Below are 23,296 nucleotides of genomic sequence, written 5' to 3' on the forward strand. Positions count from 1 at the left end.
CAGAAGTACCACAACCCTACTGGTCCTTGATTTCAGCCCAGGGAGACCTGTGTCAGACTTCTAATCTGCAGAATTGTGAAATAAAATGTGCGTTGTTTTAAGACATTAAGTTTGTGGCAATTTGTTATAGCAGCAAGAGAAAACTAATATAAAGAAGTTACTGCAGATAAATGACTGCATTCAATGACATCAATAGATATGATATAAAAAATGCACACATACAGAATATTTCTGAAAGGCATAAAGTTTAAGAGACTGGGAAGGCCTATTATCACTCTCCTCCATCCCGCTCTGTGCCCTGTTAGGCAGACCCCTATGGGCTAGACCACCCGATTCCACCTGGCTCCCAGTTGGGCTCTACCTATGGGAGGCACCAAGCAAGACACTGGAGGGTGCTCAGGCTCCAGTGCTGACCTTGCACTTGTATGACCCTCAGGGTGAGTGTCTCCTTGCATTGCAAGCTCTAGGCATCTCACTTGCCTCACTCAACACAACACTGACGAAGAAATAAGAAGCCCTCTCTAGGGGCCAAGAAAGCCTTCCAGAAAAGACGACAGGCTGACGGCTACTGTGAGCCCAACGACAAAGGATCTGGAATTTTTCACCATTTCTTACATGCCCCAACCTGACCACATCCCACCACAGGCTGCTTTGGGGTGAACTATGTCAGAGGCCATGTAGTTGAGAGAGCAGGAAAGAAAAGTCAAGAAAATATAACTCAATAGTACCAGGAGAAACAACGTAACTTGAAAACCACCCTGGACCAAGCAATTTACTCAGTTACTACAGATGCAACCCAGCTATATGCAAATCACATGAAAATATAAATAACACCCTCCATAGGGATAGCTTTTTCTTTGCTTTCTCTAGCCTGTAAAACAAATCCAATTTGGAGGATGAAAACAGAAAATTACTCTGCAGTGGAATAAGATTTGCTTCTCAGCGCTTCCAGCAATACCCGCAACAGCACCTCTAAGCTAAAAATGTCTTGTTCATACAGAAGAATGGCATAATCTAGAGGTGAACTACATAGGATTGGTGAAGTAGAAAAACATACCCACCTCTGTCTATAGAGATTTGGGAAAGTGATGGCCTTTCCTGCCAGAAGCCTTCCTAGATCGGCAATCCTCCCAATCTTCTAAAGATCCATAGAGTCTGAGTTCAGTTCTGTCTCCTCTGTGGCCCCCACAGAACAGAATATGCTCAATAAGTGGGTACTGAGTGCATGAAGGAGTCCACAGACAGCGCAGCTATACAAGGCCATGGCTGACTAGATATAAACATACTTAGCCACGCATTACCTGTTCACTTCAGGAATCTCCTTACTTCCTATCCTCCTTGGGCTCCCCTGACCCATCCCTGCCCTAAGTATTTTTAGAACAAAAATACAACAAAATGATAGGAAGAAGACTGTGGCAGGAAGAAGGTGGTAGTATTAACACTCCAAATAAGGCTGCAAGAAATTTAGAAGTTGGACACTTCCCACTCCCGCAGAAAACATTTGTTTCCTGCCCATAAATAGGAACACCATGCAGGTTTGCTTATTTTTAGAAAAACAAAAATCTTATTTTTAGAAAAAATCTATGAGATTTTTTTTTAAAGACCTGTAGCTCGGTAGGCTAACATTTCTACCCTCAAACGGCAAGCCAGGTCTTGAACACTGGTGTTCTTTCTGTTGGGCACCTACCTGAGCTGGGAAGAACCAGAAGAAGAGGTTGCTGTTGTAAGTCTTATTCACGGTGAGGAAGCCGGCATAACTCTTCATGTTCAGTCCTGGGAAAGGGCCGACCAAACTCAATTCTCTTCCTAGTGGGGGAAAAAAAATTTACCCAAGGATTACAGAAAACAATAACAACAAAAATGTGAGCCATCTATCTCAGTCTGGATGAAATGGAGTGATTAGATAAGCTAAAAGGGAACTGGTATGACAGGTAGTTCCTTCAGCAAATTCCAGCCTGCCCCTGGCCAATCCCACATAGTCCACGTTCACAATTTAGCCAAGGATATGTGAAAGTTTTAAGCCTTTGGGGAGGGGTGCCCAAATATATTTTATAAGCTGTAATAAGGTTTTTTTTAAGTTCTTTTAAAAAGAAGAAAAGAAAATCTCCTATCATTACACCTTGCATAAACCAAGGTGATCACCTTGGGCCACATGGAAAGGAGCAGGATAAAGTAACCTGACCTGAAACAGTGGGGTGCAAGAGTAACAATGTGGTGAAGCAGCTCTCGGCCTCGCCCCGAGAAGGCCTGTGTCCTTCACGCTCTTGTTTTCATGAAGGCAAAAAGCCTGTCACATCTACTAAGAGGAGTGGGCTGAGGCATATGGGAGTGTGGGTGGCTGTGGACATTGGGGAAAGGTGGACAGTGGTGGACAGTGGGGAGACTGGGAGTGACCTCATGGCTACTCAGGGGGAGCCAAATAGGACAATGGGGCAGTTGTGGGGGCCAGGGGTCCTGGCGTTCTTATGGCACCATTGGGACAGGCACAGGGAAGGAGTAATTGGGGATGCTTAGACAGCCAAGGATGCCCAGGAGTAAAGAATGCTACTAGGAGCTGACATTTACAAGGCCAGAATACCAGGGCTTTACATGATGTGGGAAGTATAATTCTCATTCCCACTTTACAGATAAGAAAGCTGAAGCACAGAGAGGTTAAGTGACTTGCCAGCTAGTAGAGGAGAGCTGGGATTAAACACAGCAGTCAGGCTGCAGAGTTTGTTCCTTCCCCCAGGGCTTTCAACTAGAGTGAGTCAGAAGGTGCAGGTGGCAAGGAGTGGGAAGGGAAGTAGTGGTCAGGAAGGGAGTGGCAAAGGAACAGAAAACAGCAGAATGTGGTGGCGAAGTAAAAGGGAAAGTTTGGGTGAAGAAGAATCCTTTAGTGGTGACAAAGAATGTGTCCCCAGTAGGAACCAGTCACTCAAGAAAAGCGATGTAAGTCTGAGCCATATTAAGTTGGAGACTGGCTAGTAGGTCAGGAAGCTTGACTCCTCACATGCCATCGACTAAAGATGCCTTTGACGGTAGGTGGAGCCCTTAGGCTCTGGAAGGCTAATTGTTAGCATCTTTTCCCAGCTCAGCATTCAGAGACATTGACAGGATAAAATAAGCCAAGGTGACAATATTAACACTCAAGGGAATAGATGCTACAAGTCAGGGTCCTGACTGCAAGGGCTGGTTGCTAAACTTTTACCAGCACACTGCTGTTTTGGGACCACTAGTTCCTATTTTACAAGGCCAGAATACCAGGGCTTTACATGATGTGGGAAGTATAGTTCTCATTCCCACTTTACAGATAAGAAAGCTGAAGCACAGAGAGGTTAAGTGACTTGCCAGCTAGTAGAGGAGAGCTGGGATTAAACACAGCAGTCAGGCTGCAGAGTTTGTTCCTTCCCCCAGGGCTTTCAACTAGAGTGAGTCAGAAGGTGCAGGTGGCAAGGAGTGGGAAGGGAAGTAGTGGCATGCCTCTTAGCTGAGCATGGTGGCAGTGCTTGTAGTCCCAGCAACTCGGGAGGCTGAGGTGGGAGGATCACTTGAGCCCAGGAGGTCAAGGCTGCAGTGAGCCATGATCATGCCACTGCACTCCAGCCTGGATAACACAGCGAGACCCTGTCTCAAAAAAAAAACATATATATAGGCATGCCTCTCAAAAGGAAAACCTCTCATCTAGACCACACAGTTCCTTTGCTGATCCTAGTGCTCCTATAGACCAGCTGGTGACCCACCATACAGGCATTTAACCTCCCTGTTCTTCAGTTTCTCCTCTATGGAAGATGTACTGCCTGTGGGCCACCTGGATTAAAAGAGCCCCCACATGTAAAATCTATATAAAGAAGCTGGCAGGTAGGGAGCAGAACTACTGTTGCTGTCTGTGAAATGCACCTGCTGACTAGGAACAGGGAGCACCTCTGAGCAGAGGAGGTCATGGGGACAAAAGAAAGGTCTCAACAGGTGGTCCTTGAGGGTCCTGTTAGGCTAGCACAATAGAAGAGCATGGGTTTCCTAGCCTGACAGACCTGGGTTTGGAATCCTAACTAGATTAGGACTCCCCAGCAAGTTGCTCCATCTCTCTGAGCCTCTTTCCTTTTATGCAAAATATAAATACTGATTCCGCTATCCTGGGCTTTCTGTGAGGATCAAACAACAAAAATGCATATGAACCCTTAGCCTAGCACTGCACATAAAATATGGGTTCAGTCAATTGGAAGGGAAAGTTATCATTAGCCTTTGGCCACTCCAAGTGAAGTCTAGAAGAATTTCCTTTTTCTGGCTCAGCCTGGTTCTCCCAGGGAAGATTGCTTAATGCAACCTCTGTTGGTCTTCACATTCTGTTCCCAATGAGGTCTATCCCTCCTCCATCAGAAAAAAAGCCAGAGAAAAAGAGAGAGAGGTGAGGATCTTATGAGAAAGAAAAGGGAGGTGTTTGGGGAAAGTGGTTTTTGCCACTCCTCCCCTCCCACTCTTCCCGCCATCTGTCGTTTTTCTTCTCCCTTTCTTCACTTCCACTCTTAATTAGCCCAGAGAAAGATCACCCCCCAGGGCTGGGCAGCCTTTAAAATGCTTTTGAAATATTTTTAGCAAAACTATTAATCTTCTCAAAATCAAACAGATACCACCCCCTGCCTCCCAAAAAAAAAAAGGAGAGTAGAGAAGTAAAAACTGTGGATTGGAAATGAGTGAGATGTGGACCACAGAGAGGTAAATGGGAAGAAGAGGATTTGAGAAAGACAACACAAAAATGAGAAAGGTCAAAGTATAATGAGAAAAAGAGAAAATATATAATAGAAAGGAGCTGGAGGGAATGGAACAGAGGAAAGGATGATTCAATCAATCTATCTCTCCCAAGACCAGCACCACACAGGGTCCACAGACTGCTCTCAAATGATTCAGATGTTCACTCATCCCTCCCTTCCTGAGGATGCCAAAGTAGCTTCTCTACTACCTTTTACTTGAGTATGTTTCAGACCTTCCCTCCTAGGTCAGGAGGTTGGAAAGTGGGGAATTTGTGTTATTTAACTTTGCATACCTTGGGACTCGGCATGCTGACTTACACACCTAAGACATTCAATAAATACTTTTTAATGAATGAATGTTAACAAATGAATGGATGAACAAGTCAATAAATGAATGAACTAAAACAAGCCCTACTGACAAGGCACCAAGATTGGCTTATTTCTACAAAAACCTCCTAAGGCAGACCTTGCTAAAAGATCTTAAGAAATTTAGAACTTTTCTCTAGCCCATAAAAAAAGTTTTGCCCTGTTTCAAATTTTAAATTTCCACTAACTAAATCCCAGTAAAATAATTTAAAATGTCATCAACTAAAATGACTTTTTATATTTTCAAATGTCCTGTGCATCCTTCTATTAATGGAATGTGGAAAACAAACTCCCAAGATGGAGGAGTTTCTATCTTTCCAGCACCATGACTCACAATACAAATGTTTAGAACAGTTTTAAAAAGGAAAAGGTTTTCTTTGAAGTGATTTTACTTCCTCCTTGTTTTTTACTGCTGCAACCAATGTTTGTGATATTAACACTTTCAAAAACATTGGAATGTGACCAACAAAGGGCTTGAACCAGCTAATCAGCATGCATGCCAGATTCACAAACACTCAAGTTATCACCAGTGTGGACAGACATTATCAGATCATAAGTAACAATAAATTAGGACCTACCAGTAAAATAGTCTTTAAAGTGTGAAAATGCAGTGTTTATAAACAAGCTAAAATGTGCCTCCTACTTCATTTTGTTTCAGGGAGTAAAGATTTATTCTAGCTTCAGAGAAAGTAAACATGCAATTACAATTACATAAAACTAAGCCAGCTAAATGAGGATTTAAAAATTAAAAATTTCCCTTGTTTTTTTGCGAGCTACTGTTTATCTCGAAAATGTTCCATTGCAATAATAAGACTCACGTTCCTAGGGTTTTGACAGACTCGATAAACAAAAGGGATTTAGGGGAGTGAGCTGACCATCTGTCCAGAGCTTCCTGAACTTTCAGCAAAGCGGATGAATAAAATTATCCTTAATTATGTTGTCAGGGCTACATTTGAATACCCAGATGTACCAGATTTTGAATCAGCCACTTAAAATTCTGTTCAAAGAATTTGACTGTGTAACATAACTTCAGGAAGTGATATTATACACAGATTTAATATTTTAAATGTTGTCAATCATCAGATGAAGATCTACCAATCTTGACATGGGAGGGTGGAAGATAAAACTACCTCCCTTGGAATCTTTCTTGGCTGCTGCTAATACCCATAACTGAGAAATGCTCATAGGCAAGAAAGACAAGAACAGGAGAGATGTCAGTAGTCTCTCAGATGGATTTCTCTGTATTCTTTTTACTTGGTTCCACCAGATGTATGATACAGAAACACCATGGTCACTTTCACTTAATGCCTTTGTTTAAGCTGTTTCTCTCATTTGGTACGCACAGACCTTTCGCTATTTACGTAAATCTTACCCGACACTCTGAAGTCCAGAGCTGGTCATACAGCATAGTGGTTCATATCATGGGCTCTGGGGTTGGCCAGTATAGGGTTTAATTCAGAGCTGCTCATATAGCATAGTGGTTCATACCATGGGCCCTGGGGTTGGCCAGTATAGGTTTTAATTCAAGCTCTGCCACTTACTAGTTTTATGGCCCTAGGCAAGATATTTGATTTCTCCGGGCCTCAGTGTTCTCATTTGTAAAATGGGAACAATGCTTATGGATTCTTCATTAGGGTTGCTCTGAGAACTACATGAGCTAATGGATGTAAAGCACAATGCCTGGCACATGGTTGGTACCCAAATTTAAATTCCATACATATTTATACATACCTATTATGTATAGGTACTATGCTAGGTACTAGGGATATAATGACTAAATGTTAGCTACTTATTATTTTTACAACTACGACAGCTCTAGTATTTTCTCCCTCGATTATGCCAACCGACAGGGATAGGTTCCTCCTCCGAATCTCCAGTGCACTTACTTTAAATGTAATACTTTAGTACTTTAGTATGCACTGCCTAATTCCTTAATTGTTTTGTGTGTATGCATCTGGTCACTTTAGAAGAACACTTTAGAAGCTTCTGAAACAAACAGAACTAAATTATAGTAGGCAAATCACAGAGCAGAAGTCAGAAGATTTGGGTCCTAAACCCATCTCTGCTACCCAACTCTACTGCACACATCCCGTTGGGCAACTCGGATAAAGTATTTCAGTCTCAATTTCCTCATATGTGGATTGGTAGAATTTGGTTATAACAATTACTTAACTCCTTTTCATCCCTACATTAAATGGTTTGCTTTGATTTACTGTTAATGAACAGAAATCTAAGCCATCAGAATCCACTTGTTAAGGAAGCTGAAATACGTGCATGTAATCCAATTTGGAGGGTTTAACGACACTTTGCCTCTTCACAAGCATCTTAATGGTATCAGCCCATATGGTGGGGCAGCCATCTTCCCAAGACTTCTCTTGTGAGGTAAAAATCAGTCCTTTTTAAAATACACTAAATACATTATCAAAGTTTTTCATCTTTCCTTAGAAAAGAGATGGTGAAACTTGAAGCCAATGTGTATTTCAGAAAAAGACATATGAACAGCACTTACACATACCCTTAAAATACAAGAATGTCTTCGTGTAAAACGAAAACCAAAAAACAATGACATCCTATTGGCTGTGAGAACACTTTGAACGAATAAAACTTGCTTTATTTTAAACTTCTTTATAGAGTATTTAGATTTGCTTTTGATCTTTAAAATGACCATTTGTCTAAAATTTCCGGTGTTCTTCTTCATTCCCATCACATCTGCCAACCTGCCAGCTTCACAGGCACCATCTCTGCCTTCCCACCTGTGACAAGGGACAACCTTGGGGCCCCTGTGTGCCAGATCCCTGTCTCTCACCTTCTTAAACACAGTCTCCAACAATGGTTCCCCAAACCAAACCAATTCCCCACTCATCATTTCCATCAGCAAACAAACATTCTCTCCTATTCTGTTAAAGACCCTTCCTGGACCCCAGTGCTCCCTCCAGCCACTACCCCATTTTTCTGCTGCTCTTTGCAAACAGCTCCTCAGAATAGCTACCTGTCTACTGTTTTATAGCTTAGGAACCTACTGAAGTCCAGAAAGTTGAAATCATTTACTCGCACAGTGATTAAGCGCAAAGAAGCATTAAGAGCAGATACAGGGCCGGGGGCAGTGGCTCACGCCTATAATCCCAGCACTTTGGGAGGCCAAGGCAGGCAGATGACTTGAGGTCAGGAGTTTGAGACAAGCTTGGCCAACAAGGCAAAATCCCATCTCTACTAAAAATATAAAAATTAGCCGGGCGTGGTAGCACATGCCTGTAGTTCCAGCTACTCAGGAGGCTGAGGCAGGAGAATCGCTTGAACGCAGGAGGTGCAGAGCGCAGTGAGCCGAGGCTGCACCACTGCACTCCAGCCTGGCAACAGAGCAAGATTCTGTCTCAAAAAAAAAAAAAAAAAAAAAAAAGAGCAGATGCAGGTCATAAATTTTAGCCTCTGATAACACTAAGTGATACCTTTTTTCCTATTGGTAATAACAATAGAAAAACCCACAATCTCTAAATAAAGCCAATTGCAAACACTCATATTTGGAGAACAACTTATAGAGTACAAAAGATTTTCACGTGCCTTATCTCATTGGATTTTCATAACATCTCTGTAAGTTGGGTAAGTTGTTAAAGCTCCATCTTATCTTAATGAGAAAACTAAGGCCCAGACTTGCTGGATAACGGGGCACAGCAGGGAGGCTGCAGTGAGGCTGAGTATGAAGCCTACACACCAGCTGATATCTGCATGAACTCTGGCTAGTAGCTCAATCTCTTTCTGCCTTGGTTTCACATGTGTAAAATGGGTCCACCTCCCCGGGATGTTGAGATGTTTAAATAAGTTCATGCAGAAAGCTTGGAACCAGTGATTGACTCATAGTAAGTTTTAAGGATAGTATTAGCATTAAGTGACCACTGGGGGACAGGCACTCTACTAGTCTTATAAATAAAATGCTGCAACTCAACCATGCAGGTAATTCAACCCCGGCTAATTCTCATTTTAGCTAAAAACTCAGACAACATATGACATCAAGTCATTAATATTTGACATAGGCTGGGTGCGGTGGCTCATGCCTATAATCCCAGCACTTTTGAAGGCTGAGGAGGGTGGATCACCAAAGGTTAGGAGTTCAAAACTAGCCTGGCCAACATGGTGAAACCCCATCTCTACTAAAAATACAAAAATTAGCTAGGCATGGTGGTGGGCACCTGTAATCCCAGCTACTCAGGAGGCTGAGGCAGGAGAATCACTTGAGCCCAGGAGGCAGAGGTTGCAGTAAGCAGAGATTGCGCCACCGCACTCCAGCCTGGGCAACAGAGCAAGACTCTGTCTCAAACAAACAAACAAACAAACAAACAAAATATATATATATATATTTGAAATAAAACAACTGAGTAAAAATACTGAAATATATTTTGCATCCTATGGGTTACTTGTTTTAAGAAAAACTATTGGCCAGGTGCAGTGGCTCACAGCTGTAATCCCAGCACTTTGGGAGGCCGAGGTGGGTGAATCTCGAGGTCAAGAGATCGAGACCATCCTGGCCAACATGGTGAAACCCCTCTCTACTAAAAATACAAAAATTATCTGGGCATGGTGGCTTGTGCCTATAATCCCAGCTACTTGGGAGGCTGAGGCAGGAGAATTGCTTGAACCCGGGAGGCGGAGGTTGCAGTGAGCTGAGATCGCGCCACTGACCTCCAGCCTAGTGACAGGCGAGACTTCGTCTCAAAAAAAAAAAAAAAAAAAAGAGAAACTGTTGAACTCATGCCAGTGGTTTTCTGATTTAATTAAACTTACTTACCTTTTTGGATCTTCCCAGCTTCAATGTAAGGGGTGAGAAATAATGGCTGTCCTGAGTCTCCCTTAGGTGGCATGGAAACACTTCTGTATAGGGAGCGAAACAGCCCATCACAGGGGCCAGGCATCAACAGGACCAGCGAAACAATCACCTTCCACATGGCACCAACCATCTCTCAGGGTCTAGGATAAAAACAGCATTCCAAAAATGAATCATAAGAGTAAATATTTACCTGGCCCTTTTACATGCAAGAAATTCATTTATTCACTTAAAAAAAATATTGTGTGTAAAGGCCCTCTGCAAGGACCTTGGATAGCACCATAAATAAGCACACCCAATCCCTGCTTACTCTTAAATTCAAAGGCTAATGGGAGACTCTTCAAGGGATTTACAGTGTCAGTAATTTTTCAATTACTGATTTTTTTTTTTTAAACAGAGTCTTGCTCTGTTGCTCAAGCTAGAGTACAGTAGCACAGTCACGTCTCACTGTTGCCTTGACCTCCTGAGCTCAAGCAATCCTCCCACCTCAGCCTCCCAAAGTGCTGGGATTATAGGAGTGAACCACTGACATTTTTTAAAATGCAGTTTGGAAAGTAAATTCAATGGAGGATTAGATAAAGACTCAGAACAACAAGAACTCTGTAACTGACCATAAATGGGTGGTAGAAACCATTATGCCACCACAGAAGGGCAGAGGATTGAAAGCACATTTCAGGCCGAAAGATCACAGAAAGGCCTTATCCAAGTTGGATATGGATAAAAGGTGAATGGTTCTCAGACAGGTGGGAGAAATGGGAAAGGCATCATGGGTGGGTGGAAACAGCTTAAGCAAAGGTGAGACCTCAGGCATCCATGCACACCTTTCAGGGAAATTTCAAAGAAGCAATGGATTTCTGGTTATGTTCTCTATCTCTTATAAAGCCCCAGTTTGTATCAAAGAACAACAACAACAAAAACAAAAACAGGAAGGAAGAAAGAAAGGGGGGAGGGTCCTACAACTACCCTTAGGTTCCTCCCCTTATTGCTAGCTGATAAGTAAATTAAAGACATTAGGCCCCAAACCATTAGCACAAAGCTTTCCAAAGATCTTCAGATCTGATGTTTGCTTAGAATATTCATCTGAGATTATAATAATAATGGCATAAAACTGTATAATTATTTACTTGAACATCAATATGTAAATTATATTTATAGTGGGCTTTCCCATGTATTTGTAGATGATTTGAATCTCCTAATTCCACCAGTGTTACAGAAAAACGACTGAATGGTATTTGTTAAAGCATGGAGACAAAGACTTTGTCAGGATAATGACAGGCACAGGGACCTTGCAGTCAACAGTCTTGCAGCAAGGAAGAGAGATTGGGCTCAACTCCAAATGCAGCACGGGCCAGTGGGAATTTATAGCCAAGGAGCAGTGTGGGGGTCAGTGGATGGAAAATTACTCAAAGGAAGCGTTGGGGTAAGGTGGATCTGGCTAAACCTAACAGGATTCTCACTGAAGACAGGCCAGGGTGATCAGACATCACCTGGGGGATGGTGCAGGATGAGAAACCTGGTCAGACATTGAGGCGATCGGATGTTGATGTTGCTGGTTCTTGGTAAAACGACTTAGCTAGTGTCCTTTGCTAAAACTGGATTTTACAAGGACGTGCACAAACAGGCCTAGCAGGAGATTCAGAAGCCTGACTAAAATTTGGCCAAGGAAAAAAATCCTTGTCACCAGGAAAGTGAGGACTATTGTCACCAAATTCAGGTAAGGAAAACTTGAATCAAAAGAGTGTCTCATGCAAGGACATGAAAGTAGAGAAGGCCAGGACTAGGGAGAAGCGAGGGAGGTACAGATGCAGGGTCAGATCTCATCTTGATCTAAAATGTTGACCATTTTTATTATCATTAATTTTTCTCTGCATTATACAGTTTTTTAACTATTACATTAACATATTACTAGTCTTGAATTTTTTTTGACACTTTCTTAAGTTTTACACCTGAGGTAGTGCCTCTCTTGTCTCACCCTAATCCTGACCTTGCTAAGTAGGGAATTATGACAAGCACACCAGGGCCGTTACATGACTCTGCACTCCTGCTATTTAAGCATGATCTATGTTCTTAGCTGTAAATTCTAAATCAAATACATGAAATGAAAGGGTACTCCACACATTCACATTTCTGGATGCAAAAAGAGATACACAATTATGCAAATATAATGCCTGCTTTTGTTCAGTGCTTTAAAATGCCAAGCCATTAGAACATCTTAAAAATACAAAACGTGTAAAAATCTTTTAACGACATGCTTATTACAACCCAATTTGGCATAACATGAAAATATTGGTTATAGCAAATTTTAAAAGCTTTTCAGGCACATTTCCCCAGTAAGATAAAGGTTTATAATTATAATGTGATTGAATATATAACCCTTGTCATGTCTCTCAGGGTTAACTTACTAGAATTCCCCACACTTAATGTAAATAAGGCCAACCAAATCCAGGATGGAGCTAAAAAATGCTTTTGCCTATTACTGACTATAATAAAGAACAAAATGAATTTAGGAACTGAAATTAGGTTCCCAAGAAGCCCCAGGGTAATGACCTCTATGGCACTGTGAAAACATTTTTTTAAATTACTTGAACTTGTTTACACTGATGCTTTTATAGCACAGCTACTTTCAAGGGATGCCTGAAATCAACAATCTTACTCTCTAACTGGTTCAGAAAAAAAAAAAAAAAAAAAAAAAAAAAAAAAATATATATATATATATATATATATATATGCAATATTAAAAAAAAATAATGGAAGAAGCTCTTCCAGTAAGAGGTTTTTGTTTTTTTTTTTTCCCCTGGGGACAGAAACAAGAAACCAATCATGCCATCTAATTTCTCAATCTTCCTGCTGCCAATCCCTAGCTCCCTTTAATGGAAGCCATTAATATTTAAATAACCAGGGTAGTTACAGCACTTCCCTTGTAAGCAGATGTTGACTCAAAGATGTTAAAAAAGGAAAACAGGTAAAACTGGTCCTGTTTTAATTGATATAAATCTAATACATAAAAGTAAGAATTGGGTCAATTTAGTAGATCTCATTAACATTTAATCAAATAACTATCTGAGTCATGGTTTCCCATTCAGGTGAATTAAAGCACCGACATACTTCATTTTACAGTTCTCATTCAACAGTCAGAATTCCTGAACTGTGCTTAGCTGTTATCTCTCCTTATGAGAATGAAAGCTATTATCATAAATGGAGAAGTGGGTTTTTTAAACACCCTCTCATATGTTTTTGCTTATCCTAAATTAGCATGAGTCCTTTTATTTATTGAACATTTATTGAGCAATTTCTAAACCAACAAACCTTATACTAGACAGAGGATATCTCCCACAGAAAGTTGAAAAAGAAAATTGTTAACCCTACACTTTATCATACCTACTTGAAATAATATGAAAACAGTGGTGCTATTTCCAGTTCAAACATATCATATTGAAGAATTCAAACAAAATGTTCTTCTTAATAAATGTTTAGAAACAGAATAAAATCTGGGTAAATACAAAACAATATCAACAGAATCAAAGACTCTAAAGGTCAAAAGTATATAATTTGCTAAAATTGTCTTACTAAACCTTAAATATTAAAGTTGAAAATCATGTGTCCAATGTATGATTTTTGATATGGAACAAAGCTATTTATCCACAGTGTTCTTTAGAATAATAAAAATTGTCAATAAATAAAATTTCCAACAGTAAGACATCAGATAAGTTACTATATACCAAAAAGATAAAATTATTATACATACAGCAATTAAAATGATTCTACTAAGAATGTTTTGAAAAATATGATAAAATATTATTAGGTAAAGAAAAGCAGGATATTAGATTGGATATATGGTTTTTTTCCTTATTTAATACTTCTTAATAATTTCTAAATTTTCTACAAAAATTTTATACTCAGAAAAAAGGTAATTTTGTTGCTTTTTTAAAAAAACAAAGTGAAGCAACTGCTAGACATGGCAGAAAAAGTGCTTATTCCTTATTACTACCTGGGTATGACCTCTTCTGTTTCCTAGGAATAAGGTTCTATTTGTACTTCTAGAATAGCTTCTTCTTTCTCTAACATTCTGTTAAGATATGTCCTGATCTCCTAAAGCCACAGAATCCCAGAGACTCAAAGTAAATTTTCTCTTCGGCAAATCAGAAGGCTCTGCATAAATGTGAGATGCTATTATAATAATATTTATTATCATATCTGAATTTCATTCTGCCTGGAGTACAGTTCATAATGAGAGTGCATATAGTTGGTACTAAGCAAATATTATTGAATTGATGAATCTAAATAAGGAACCATATTTTAGACCTACAAGATATTAAATGTTCATGTGGTCCAGTTCCTTCATCTTCAGATTAGAAAACTTTTACCAAGGAGTAACTGACTTGATCAAGATGACAAGGCCAAGACTCAAAGCCAGAATTTACTTATGGCTCTAAATCTCATCTGCTTTCCACTCTCCCGTCTTTTTTTTTTTTTTTTTTTTTTGAGACAGAGTCTCGCTCTGTCACCCAGACTGGAGTGCAGTGGTGCGATCTCAGCTCACTACAACCTCCGCCTCCTCGGTTCAAGCGATTCTCTTGCCTCAGCCCCCCATGTAGCTGGGATTACAGGCACCCACCACTACACCTAGCTAATTTTTGTATTTTTAGTAGAGGCGGGGTTTCACCACGTTGGCCAGGCTGACCTCAGGTTCCTGATCTCAGGTGATCCACCCGCCTCGGCCTCCCAAAGTGCTGGGATTACAGGCGTGAGCCACCGCCCCCGGCCTACTCTCCCACCTTTATTCCAGATATATTCAAATATTCTGACTCTTACTGTCTCAATAGATAATAACAGCCTGTAATAGTCTTAAATCCCTTTTATGGATTGTTAAAGGATGGAGTAAATAAATAAACAAATGAATAAAAAGAAACGTTGATAAGTAAATCTGTCTAGAGTAGTCTGGTTTTTAGAAACAACTCTGTAATAACCCAGGTCCTGCCATGACTCATCCGAGGACCTTGGTAAGACAGTAACTTCTCTGGGTCCCACCTGATGTGCTCAAGCCAGCGCAAGAGAGCTGATGGTTAAATTTTCAGAAATATTGAGAGTCAGTTGTTCAACAGAGCCACCGTTAACAATTAAACTGTTATTGAAGAAGTTACATTTTAAAACATATGTTCAAAGTACTCAAAACTTATCATTTCCTAATGATTTTACTACATTTTACTATTATCTGTGATCTAGAGTTATGTTTTTTGTATCTGTGTGGTAGACAGATTACACATATGATGATTTGCTTCTGGGCATCTTTTTCCAACTATGTGTTCAGTAATCTTGTTGGTAGCTTGAAATCAACTATGGTAGGAGTATTTATACCACAGTAACCAGCAAACACCAGAAATCAGGCCTTCTTTTTTTCAGACTGCCAATTGTTAAACATTTACCTGCACATACTGGGCTCATCTTCATTATTGGTAAAATGAGCTAGATGCTATTTTCCATTAGCTCACACTCCAATTCCAATCGACCTGACCATCAGAAGAGACAAAAAGGGAAAATCCTGGCCAGTTCTCCCCTACCTGATCAACCAGTAGCATAATCAGATTTGCAAGACCTCAAGAAAAGAAACCTGAAAATGCCACTGGAGGTGTGTGTTTTGCCAAAGAAAAAAGAATCAAAAACAAAACCTGCAGGATGAGGACAAACAAACAAAGAGCAGGTATTTAAACCAGCCTTATATTCTCCCCTTCACTCGTTTCCACTTCCCCACTTTACACTATCGATTACTCCAATCAAAGGATACATATCTTTCATATAATAACCATTGTAGCTGCAATTAAAATAGTTATTGCCCGGCACATTGGCTCATGCCTGTAATCCTGGCACTTTGGGAGGCCAAGGCGGGAGGATCCCTTGAGCCCAGGAGTTTATTTATTTATTTATTTAAGGGACAGAGTCTCACTATGTTGACACCCTGGACAACACTCTTGAAGTACTCTTTTCCCAGGGAGGACACAGTCATGGCATGCAAGGTAAAGGGCAACCTTTTGCTGAAGTGGCACTGAGACACGCCTATCTCCTTTTCACAGGTTCCTCTCTGGCATCAGACAGTGATGTCTAATCTCTCTAACGAATTAGTCATCCCTGTCTCTGCCACCATATCCTTGGATGTGCAGGAAAAGGAAACTAGAGGTGTGTGGCAGGGAGAGAATGAGAAAAATCAGGAAGAGGAGAAAATAATATAATCTGACACCACAGTCTAGAGCTTTTCCTTGAAATCCCACTCCAACCAGAAGGGAAATTTAAGTGGGCATGTGGTGGAAAGTAAAATGTAAACATTATCCCAACATGTTCTTCAACAGTTTTGAAATAGAAGGGCCATGCCTGTGACTAAAGGCACCATCATGATAATGATACCAGTTAATAGCTACCAATTACTGAATGCTTACTATGTACAAAAAACTGTACTGATTGCTTTATATTTTTTATTTCTAACCAGGAAGGTAAGGGTTACAAACAACCTTACCTTGTCATCTCATTTTATAGACGAGATACCGATCCTCAGAGAATCTAAGTGATTTGCTCAGGTTCACAGTTAGTAAGTGGTAAAGCAAGGAACTGAGGTGTCGGGGCTCACAACATGATAACCCAAAATAATGGCACCTTGGCACAGTGAGTATTTTAAACAGCAGGAAATTGAAAAAACAGCAGAAGCAGGAAGGCTGCTCTCTGACCTTTTCCCACCTTTTTCTCCTGAGAGCTGGCCATGAAAGAATTCTCTGACCTACTTCCCCTGAAAGTAGGTCATAAGACCCTCATTCCAGAGGGGTCCTGCCCTATACCCAGAGGGAAGGAATGTCACACCGAGGCTGAAAGGAATCTGAACAAATAGGCCTCGCTGAGTTCCCCAGATTATTACTATTAGATCACACTCTTTTGTCCTCCAATTACACTTCTGCACAACTGTCCCTAAACACACATGGTTTTCCCTGGGTCCTTGGGGCTTCGTTTTCTGAAGGTTTCTGTGTCACTGAAAACTTACATTAAATATAACTTTTATACTTTTCCCATTTAATCTTTTTTTTTTTTCTTTTTATTTGTTATAGGGGCTCAGCCATGAACCTTGTGATGGATGAGGAAAAGATATTCTTTTTCTCCCCTTACAGTTTCTGGCAGCCAACATGGGGTGGCTGTGACACCCCACTAGTTCCAGAACCTGCAGATGAGATCCTGGGACAACCAATAAAAAAACAACAAAAAGTTAAGAGTTTTTTTTTTTTTTTTTTTTTTTTTTTTTAAACCAAGATCAGCTCTCTTGGATCTCTGCTCCTAGGTAGGGATTTCCTTTCCAAATTCAGATTAGCAGAAGAAAATCATTTGTTTGGATTGTGACTCATGTAAATCTGATTTGGGGATACCCATTAGTTATTGATCCTTTCCCTCCCAGGGACAGCTATCTCATTCCTGTTTCTCTCCTTTTGTTTCCTGAGTGCTTCGCTTCATGAGTGGTGACAAAACTCTCTCTGGGCCCGGCATGATGGCTTATGCCTGTAATCCCAGCACTTTGGGAGGCCAAGGCAGGCAGATCACTTGAGGTCAAGAGTTTAAGATCAGCCTGGCCAACACGGTGAAACCCTGTCTCTATTAAAAATACAAAAATTAGCCAGGCATGGTGGCACACGCCTGTAATCCCAGCTACTCATGAGGTTGAGGCAGGGGAATCGCTTGAACCCAGGAGGTGGAGGTTGCATGAGCTGAGATTGCACCACTGCACTCCAGCCTGGGCAACAGAGTAAGACTCTGTCTCAAAAAAAAAAAAAAAATTAAAAAAAAGAAAAAAACTTTCTCTGCTCTCTGCCAGATGGGGTGCAAGTGTTTCAGCTAACAATGAGTGGGAAACACATCTCTGGGTAGATGATCTGAGACTGAGAGGGAGCCAGCCTTGAGGAAACAGTACAAAAGCCCTGCAGTGCAAACAAGGTGCTTACTGTGGGTTGGCGGGCACAGTCAATAGGGGAGGGAGTGGTACACAATGAGGCTGGAGAGACAGATAAAGCAGAGCTCCTAGAGTCTTATCTTCCTTCATCTGTGTTAGCATTTTATTCTAATGATAATGGGAGACCACTGGAGAGTTTAGAGCAAGGGAGGAATATCATCTGATTTACACTGTGACATGATTGCTCTGGTTGCTATCTAACAAGTAGGCTTAAGGAGAATCAGGATGGAACCATGATACCTCATAAGAGGCCACTGTTATAACCCAAGAGATATGACAAAGGCTGGGGTCAAGGAGTAGCAGGGGAGGTAATGAGAAATGGTCAGCTACATTGTGAAGGCAGATCCATGAATATTTGCTCATAGACCAGACATAATGGCTAAGGGAAAGAAAAGAAGTACAAGGATGGCACCTGTTTTCTGCCCAGAGTAACTGCATGAATTGTTATGTGCTGAGCTGAAGATATTTTGAAGTTCTATCTCCTAGTACCTCAGAATATGACCTTATTTGAAAATAGGGTCTTTGCAGACGTAGTAAGGTTGATGCAAAAGTAATTGTGGTTTTTGCCATTACTTTTTTTTTTTTTGAGACGAGTCTCGCTCGGTCGCCAGGGTGGAGTGCAGTGGCACGATCGCAGCTCATGCAACCTCTGCCTCCCAGATTCAAGCAATTCCCCTGCCTCAGCCTCCCAAGTAGCTGGGGCTACAGGTGTGTGCTACCACTCCTGGCTAATTTTTTGCATTTTAGTAGAGGTGGGGTTTCACCATGTTGGCCAGGATGGTCTCGATCTCCTGACCTTGTGAACTGCCCACCTCGGCTTCCCAAAGTGCTGGGATTACAGGTGTGAGCCACACTACTTTTAATTAAAAGTAACTTTACACCAACCTAATAATTAGCTACAATGAGATTATGCTGGAGTTGGATTAGGGCAGGGCTTTCATCCAATATAACTCGTGTCCTTATAATAAGAGGAGGGAACTTTAGAGGAGAATGCCATGTGACGAAGAGGCAGACACTAAGTGATGTATCTACAAGCCAAGAAGCCCAGGATTGCTGGTAAACATCAACAGCTAGAAGAGGCAGGGAAGATCGTAGCCTACAGGTTTCAGGAGGAGCATGGTCCTGCTGACACATTAATTTTGGACTCTACCATTCAGAACTGTGAGACAATAAATTTCTGTTAAGTTACCCAGATGGTGGTGTTTTGTTACAGCATCCCTAGGAAACTAATACATGAATAGTGGGGCCATGATTGGAGATCAGGAAGACTATGGAAGGAGTTGGGATGGAGGGTGTGAAGGCACAAAACCCCAAGAGTTCTACTTTAAGTTGCCTGGTAGGCGTCCAGTGAAAATTCTGACTGGCCAACACTAAGCTGGAAAAGGGAAGCAAAACTGATTTCTTACATCAAATATGTCTGGCATTATGCAAGCCAGGATTTCCCACAGGGTCCTTTATGGAATACCAATTCTGTATTATATTAACAGATTTTATAATATAGACAGATTTTATCTGTCTATATTAACAGATTTTATAAGGAAAAACATTTGGGAAAGTCTGGGTTAAATACAATTAAATGGGCTCCCTTGTTACAGAACATCTCATAGCCGTTCACTAACAGACAGCACACCTTTTCTTGACTGTGACACTATTCTTAGACAAGCCCTAAGGCCAGAGCTTTATATGAGACATATCCATATGAGTAAACTCAGTCCCAGGTTAAATAATTTTCTCATGCCCCCTCAGCTATTGAGTTGCAAAGCTGGAATCTGAAGCCATATCTAGGTGATGTCAAAGTCCACGTATTTTCCATATACCACTATATAAACGACAGAATATAACGAAATCTGCCTCAATGCAACTGTTGATAAAAACGGAATTCTGAATAAACTGGATTGTTTTGTCCATTTGCAGAATTTATAGGTACTGAAATTGCAAATGACTGAAAGGCATATTTATCTGTAAAGAAGTGAAAATCACAGGTCCACAGATTGCTTCATAATGGATTTCTAGTGTACTTCTTTCAGTTTCAGAAATTACTTTTTGGGGTAAGTGAAGCTCTCTACTCTTTAGGACATTAAAATCTCATGGCAAAGTCAGTGTCTTCCACTAAGAAATTTTTGTTAGTTTTGCTCAAGTCAGTGTAGCTCTGTTCTTCTTTAGAATTGCCTCCTTTTGAATGGTGTGAACCCAGGAGGCGGAGCTTGCAGTGAGCCGAGATCGCATCACTGCACTCCAGCCTGGGCAACAGAGTGAGACTCCGTCTCAAAAAATAAAAATAAACAAAAATAAAAAAAAAAAGAATTGCCTCCTTTCTATTGCCTACTATAATTAGCATTTTCAAATAAGAACATTAGGATACACCGGGTGGCAAATACAGGCTAAGATTGGGAACAATGAATGAGAACATTTTATATGAGGATAATCCTAGTAAATGTGGCAATGTCATCAGTTTAACCACCACTCCCTGAAGTGACAAGAAACTTCTCCCTGATTCTAAAAGAGTGACTACTATTTGTAGCAGTAACCACTCTATAGGACTCGCTTCCATGATTCTAGTACATTTCTCAGCTCTTTTCCATATGTTGTCTCATTCAAGCTTCACCTCCACTCTTTGTGTTTTTTTGTTTTGTTTTGTTTTTTTGAGACACGGTCTCACTCTGTCACCCACAATCTTGGCTCACAGCAACTTCCGCCTCCTGAGGCATAAATGATCCTCCCACCTCATCCTCCAGAGTAGCTGGGACCACCGGTGCATGCCACCACACCCAGCTAATTTTTGTACTTTTTGTAGAAATGGAATTTTGCCATGTTGGCCAGGCTGGTCTCGAGCTCCTGGGCTCAAGCGATTCACCTGCCTTGGCCTCCCAAAGTGCTGGAATTACAGGCATGAGCCACTGCGCCTTGGCCCACCTCCACTCTTGAAAGGAGTTAGTGTAGCACTTCAATAGAGGCCCATGCTGACTGGGCCACTTTGCAAGTGATAATACTCCAGGCAGCAGCTGACCTGGAACAGACTCCAAGTTGACTGGACCATCCACTCATTCACTGAATAAATATATCCTTAGCTCATACAATGAATAAAACAGACAGCATCTGCCTTCATGAACTGAGGAAGAGAGATAGGCGAGAGCTTTTAAGAAAATCAAAGCAGGATAAACGGAATAGAGAGGAAAGGGGTCAAGCAGTGGCACTATTTGAGATAGGTGGTCAGGGAAGGCCCCCCTGAGTAGGTGACATCTGAGCAGATCTGAGGGCATGAGACAGTGTCTAGGAAGAAGAGAGTTCCTGGCAGGAGAACAGTGACTACAAAGGCCATTAACAGGAAACAATGCAGATGGAAGCCCATGGTGGGGGCCAGGTGAGCGATGGTCGGAGTGGTTCGAAGGGGGATCAGGTACAGGCTCGTGCTGGGTATTGAAAGCTAACCTGTATTTTAGGGCACTGCTTCTTCCCAGCTCTGGATATCTCTATCAGTGTCCAGGAAGTCCAACAGTGTAACACTGCTGGCCCCTTGCTGCTGCCTTCTTCCCTCCGTAGGGGTAGGGTGTCAGGCAGAAAGGTTCACCTTATGGGTACATTTGGATAAACTGGTCATGTTGGGCTCACCTCACTCCCCATCCCCACATGAAACGGTGCTTTTCTCTCTAAACCCTGTGTGAATCTGAGGATTGCTGGGCAAGTCTGCTCAGTCAGGCATCAGTCATAGGAAACCCATTTGCCCAAAAGGAAAAGTGCCATTCCAGCCCAGCCTCCCTCGTTAATCAAGCTGATGTTTCACTGTCCTCCTGCCTTGCTCTTCTTTCTTATTTCTCAATTTTTTCAGAACTCATGAAAGAAAGACAAAGTGCTGTGTTTTGAGCTCCCTCAGAGGCCTCAAAAATGGAATTTAGGTCTTATTCTAGTGTAACCCCTATACTCCACTGTCTCTATTATCCTGCAAAATTTCATCATATATACAATTGAAGAAAGACATGGTTAATAGTATCAGCTTCATCAGTCATACCCAGAATTTAAAGCCCCATACAGTCTGGCTTGCTCACACCAACCCTGAAAAGAGAAAGTGGAGGATGAGAAATGACATCTCAGATCAAACCAGCCAAAATGTCTTCACACAGCTAATGCAAGGGCAACAAAGTCACTGCATGCATTCCCTCATTAGGTATTTGAAAATCCACTACGTATAGTATCCAAGGTGCAGACAACAGAAAAAGCCCACAGGCTGGTTCATCTGCTTCATAAGCCACTGAATACCCTCTATTATTGCTTCTGTCAGCAGTTTCTGAAGGCAAAAAAAAAAAAAACAAAAAACGCTGTTTTCTTTCTTAATGTATTCTGACTTCTGTGCATATCATCTTGCCAAAATCATTAATAATCTCCATATTTCTAAATTCAAAAGAAAAATCTGTCTTTATCTTTATTGACTTTTCTGACATGCTGACAGTGCCCCTTTGGCAAATTTATCGATGCCTTGCCTTCTGTAATTTGTGTTTTCATAGATCTTCTAAAATTCTTCTAGAAGTCTATCCTTGGCCCACAGCTTATCACACTTCCACACACTAAAGAGTGGTCTCATCACTTTAACCAGCACTTTCTGTGGACACCACTCAAAATGAGAGTGCCTCTCAAAAGCTTCTGCCTCATCCATCCAACTGCCTGCCTAACATTTTTACCTGATGCCCCATGGGTATATGAAACTCAACATGTCAAAATGGCATTTAATCCTGCTGAAACGTGGTGAATCAGAAACATTTGTTTATTTCTGTCCCCTCATGAAACCTCTCTAAAATGAGAGTAAAGACATTTTTTAAAGTTATAAATCCCAATACCCAAGAAAATAGAAGAGATAACAGTAAATGGGGCAGATCAAATTTTTGTTGTTAGATGGAAAGTGAACAGATAGTTTGCAGAGAATGAAGGCAGAATATAAATAAGAAACAAGCTAATTCAAACCATACAACTACAGAAAGGGTCAAAAATGGTAAGTACTGGTTACTGCAGAAGGCAAAAGTAAAGTATGGGGCTGAAAATGGAGGAATTGGCAAGAGTCTATAACAGCATTTAGATCCTCAAGTCCCTCCCCAGTCTAAAAGAGAGGTGAAAGCCTTATTCTGCAGCAAATTCATTATTTGGACATTTTCAGTAGAGACACTCTAGACTTGGGAATATAAGAAACAGTGAAAGTTGGGGAAGAGATACCCTACTGAAAACTCAGAAATTCTACACACTGACAGACCCCAGCCCCTTGAACACTCAGCAGAAAGAATGTAGGCAGTAAGGACTCTATACCTTCATTCTTCAGCCTCTGCAGGAGACTGAAGAATTCTTCTTTGCAACAACTGCATTCTCTTAGAGAAAGAACCTACACATAATGACATGTAGGATCCTCTAATGAAGCATGTTGAATCC

General features: G+C 41.1%; 1 protein-coding gene and 1 long non-coding RNA gene across 26 annotated transcripts in view, besides 1 other annotated feature; one reads left to right on the forward strand and one right to left on the reverse strand.

Annotated features, from left to right (window-relative positions):
* The window catches only part of CPVL (carboxypeptidase vitellogenic like), a 200,816-nt gene that overhangs the window by 116,381 nt on the left and 61,139 nt on the right, over positions 1–23,296 (reverse strand). For 16 of the 21 annotated variants that reach the window (NM_001371258.1, NM_001371256.1, NM_001371261.1 and 13 more), the window contains 2 exons: positions 9,877–10,055; positions 1,688–1,806 (listed from right to left, as the gene is read on the reverse strand). In NM_001371258.1, the coding sequence (NP_001358187.1) occupies positions 1,688–1,806; positions 9,877–10,045 (288 nt within the window). In that variant the 5' untranslated portion in view covers positions 10,046–10,055. Of the gene's footprint in view, positions 1–1,687; positions 1,807–3,330; positions 3,607–8,345; positions 8,463–9,876; positions 10,056–13,294; positions 13,312–23,296 lie in introns of those variants that run through there. The other 5 variants (NM_001371266.1, NM_001371265.1, NM_001371267.1 and 2 more) reach the window with 5 other exon arrangements.
* Positions 11,419–17,156, forward strand: LOC128966558 (uncharacterized). 5 transcript variants are annotated; one of them, XR_008485572.1, is made up of 3 exons: positions 11,419–11,626; positions 15,313–15,610; positions 16,998–17,156. It is a non-coding gene; the product is annotated as an uncharacterized LOC128966558 (long non-coding RNA). The 5 variants fall into 5 exon arrangements; XR_008485570.1 differs by having other exon boundaries at positions 15,840–17,151; XR_008485569.1 differs by lacking the exon at positions 11,419–11,626 and adding an exon at positions 14,017–14,071.
* Positions 15,190–16,389: an enhancer, noted in NCBI's record as "CDK7 strongly-dependent group 2 enhancer chr7:29165822-29167021 (GRCh37/hg19 assembly coordinates)". NCBI's record gives its function as "activates an origin of replication core promoter dependent on BRD2, BRD4, P300/CBP, MED14 and CDK7 cofactors, with strong dependence on CDK7, by STARR-seq in HCT116 cells {active_cell/tissue: HCT116}" and the evidence as "EXISTENCE:reporter gene assay evidence [ECO:0000049][PMID:35650434]".

The sequence above is a fragment of the Homo sapiens genome, chromosome 7 (genome assembly GCF_000001405.40).
Source record: "Homo sapiens chromosome 7, GRCh38.p14 Primary Assembly".
NCBI classification, from domain to species: Eukaryota; Metazoa; Chordata; class Mammalia; order Primates; family Hominidae; genus Homo; species Homo sapiens.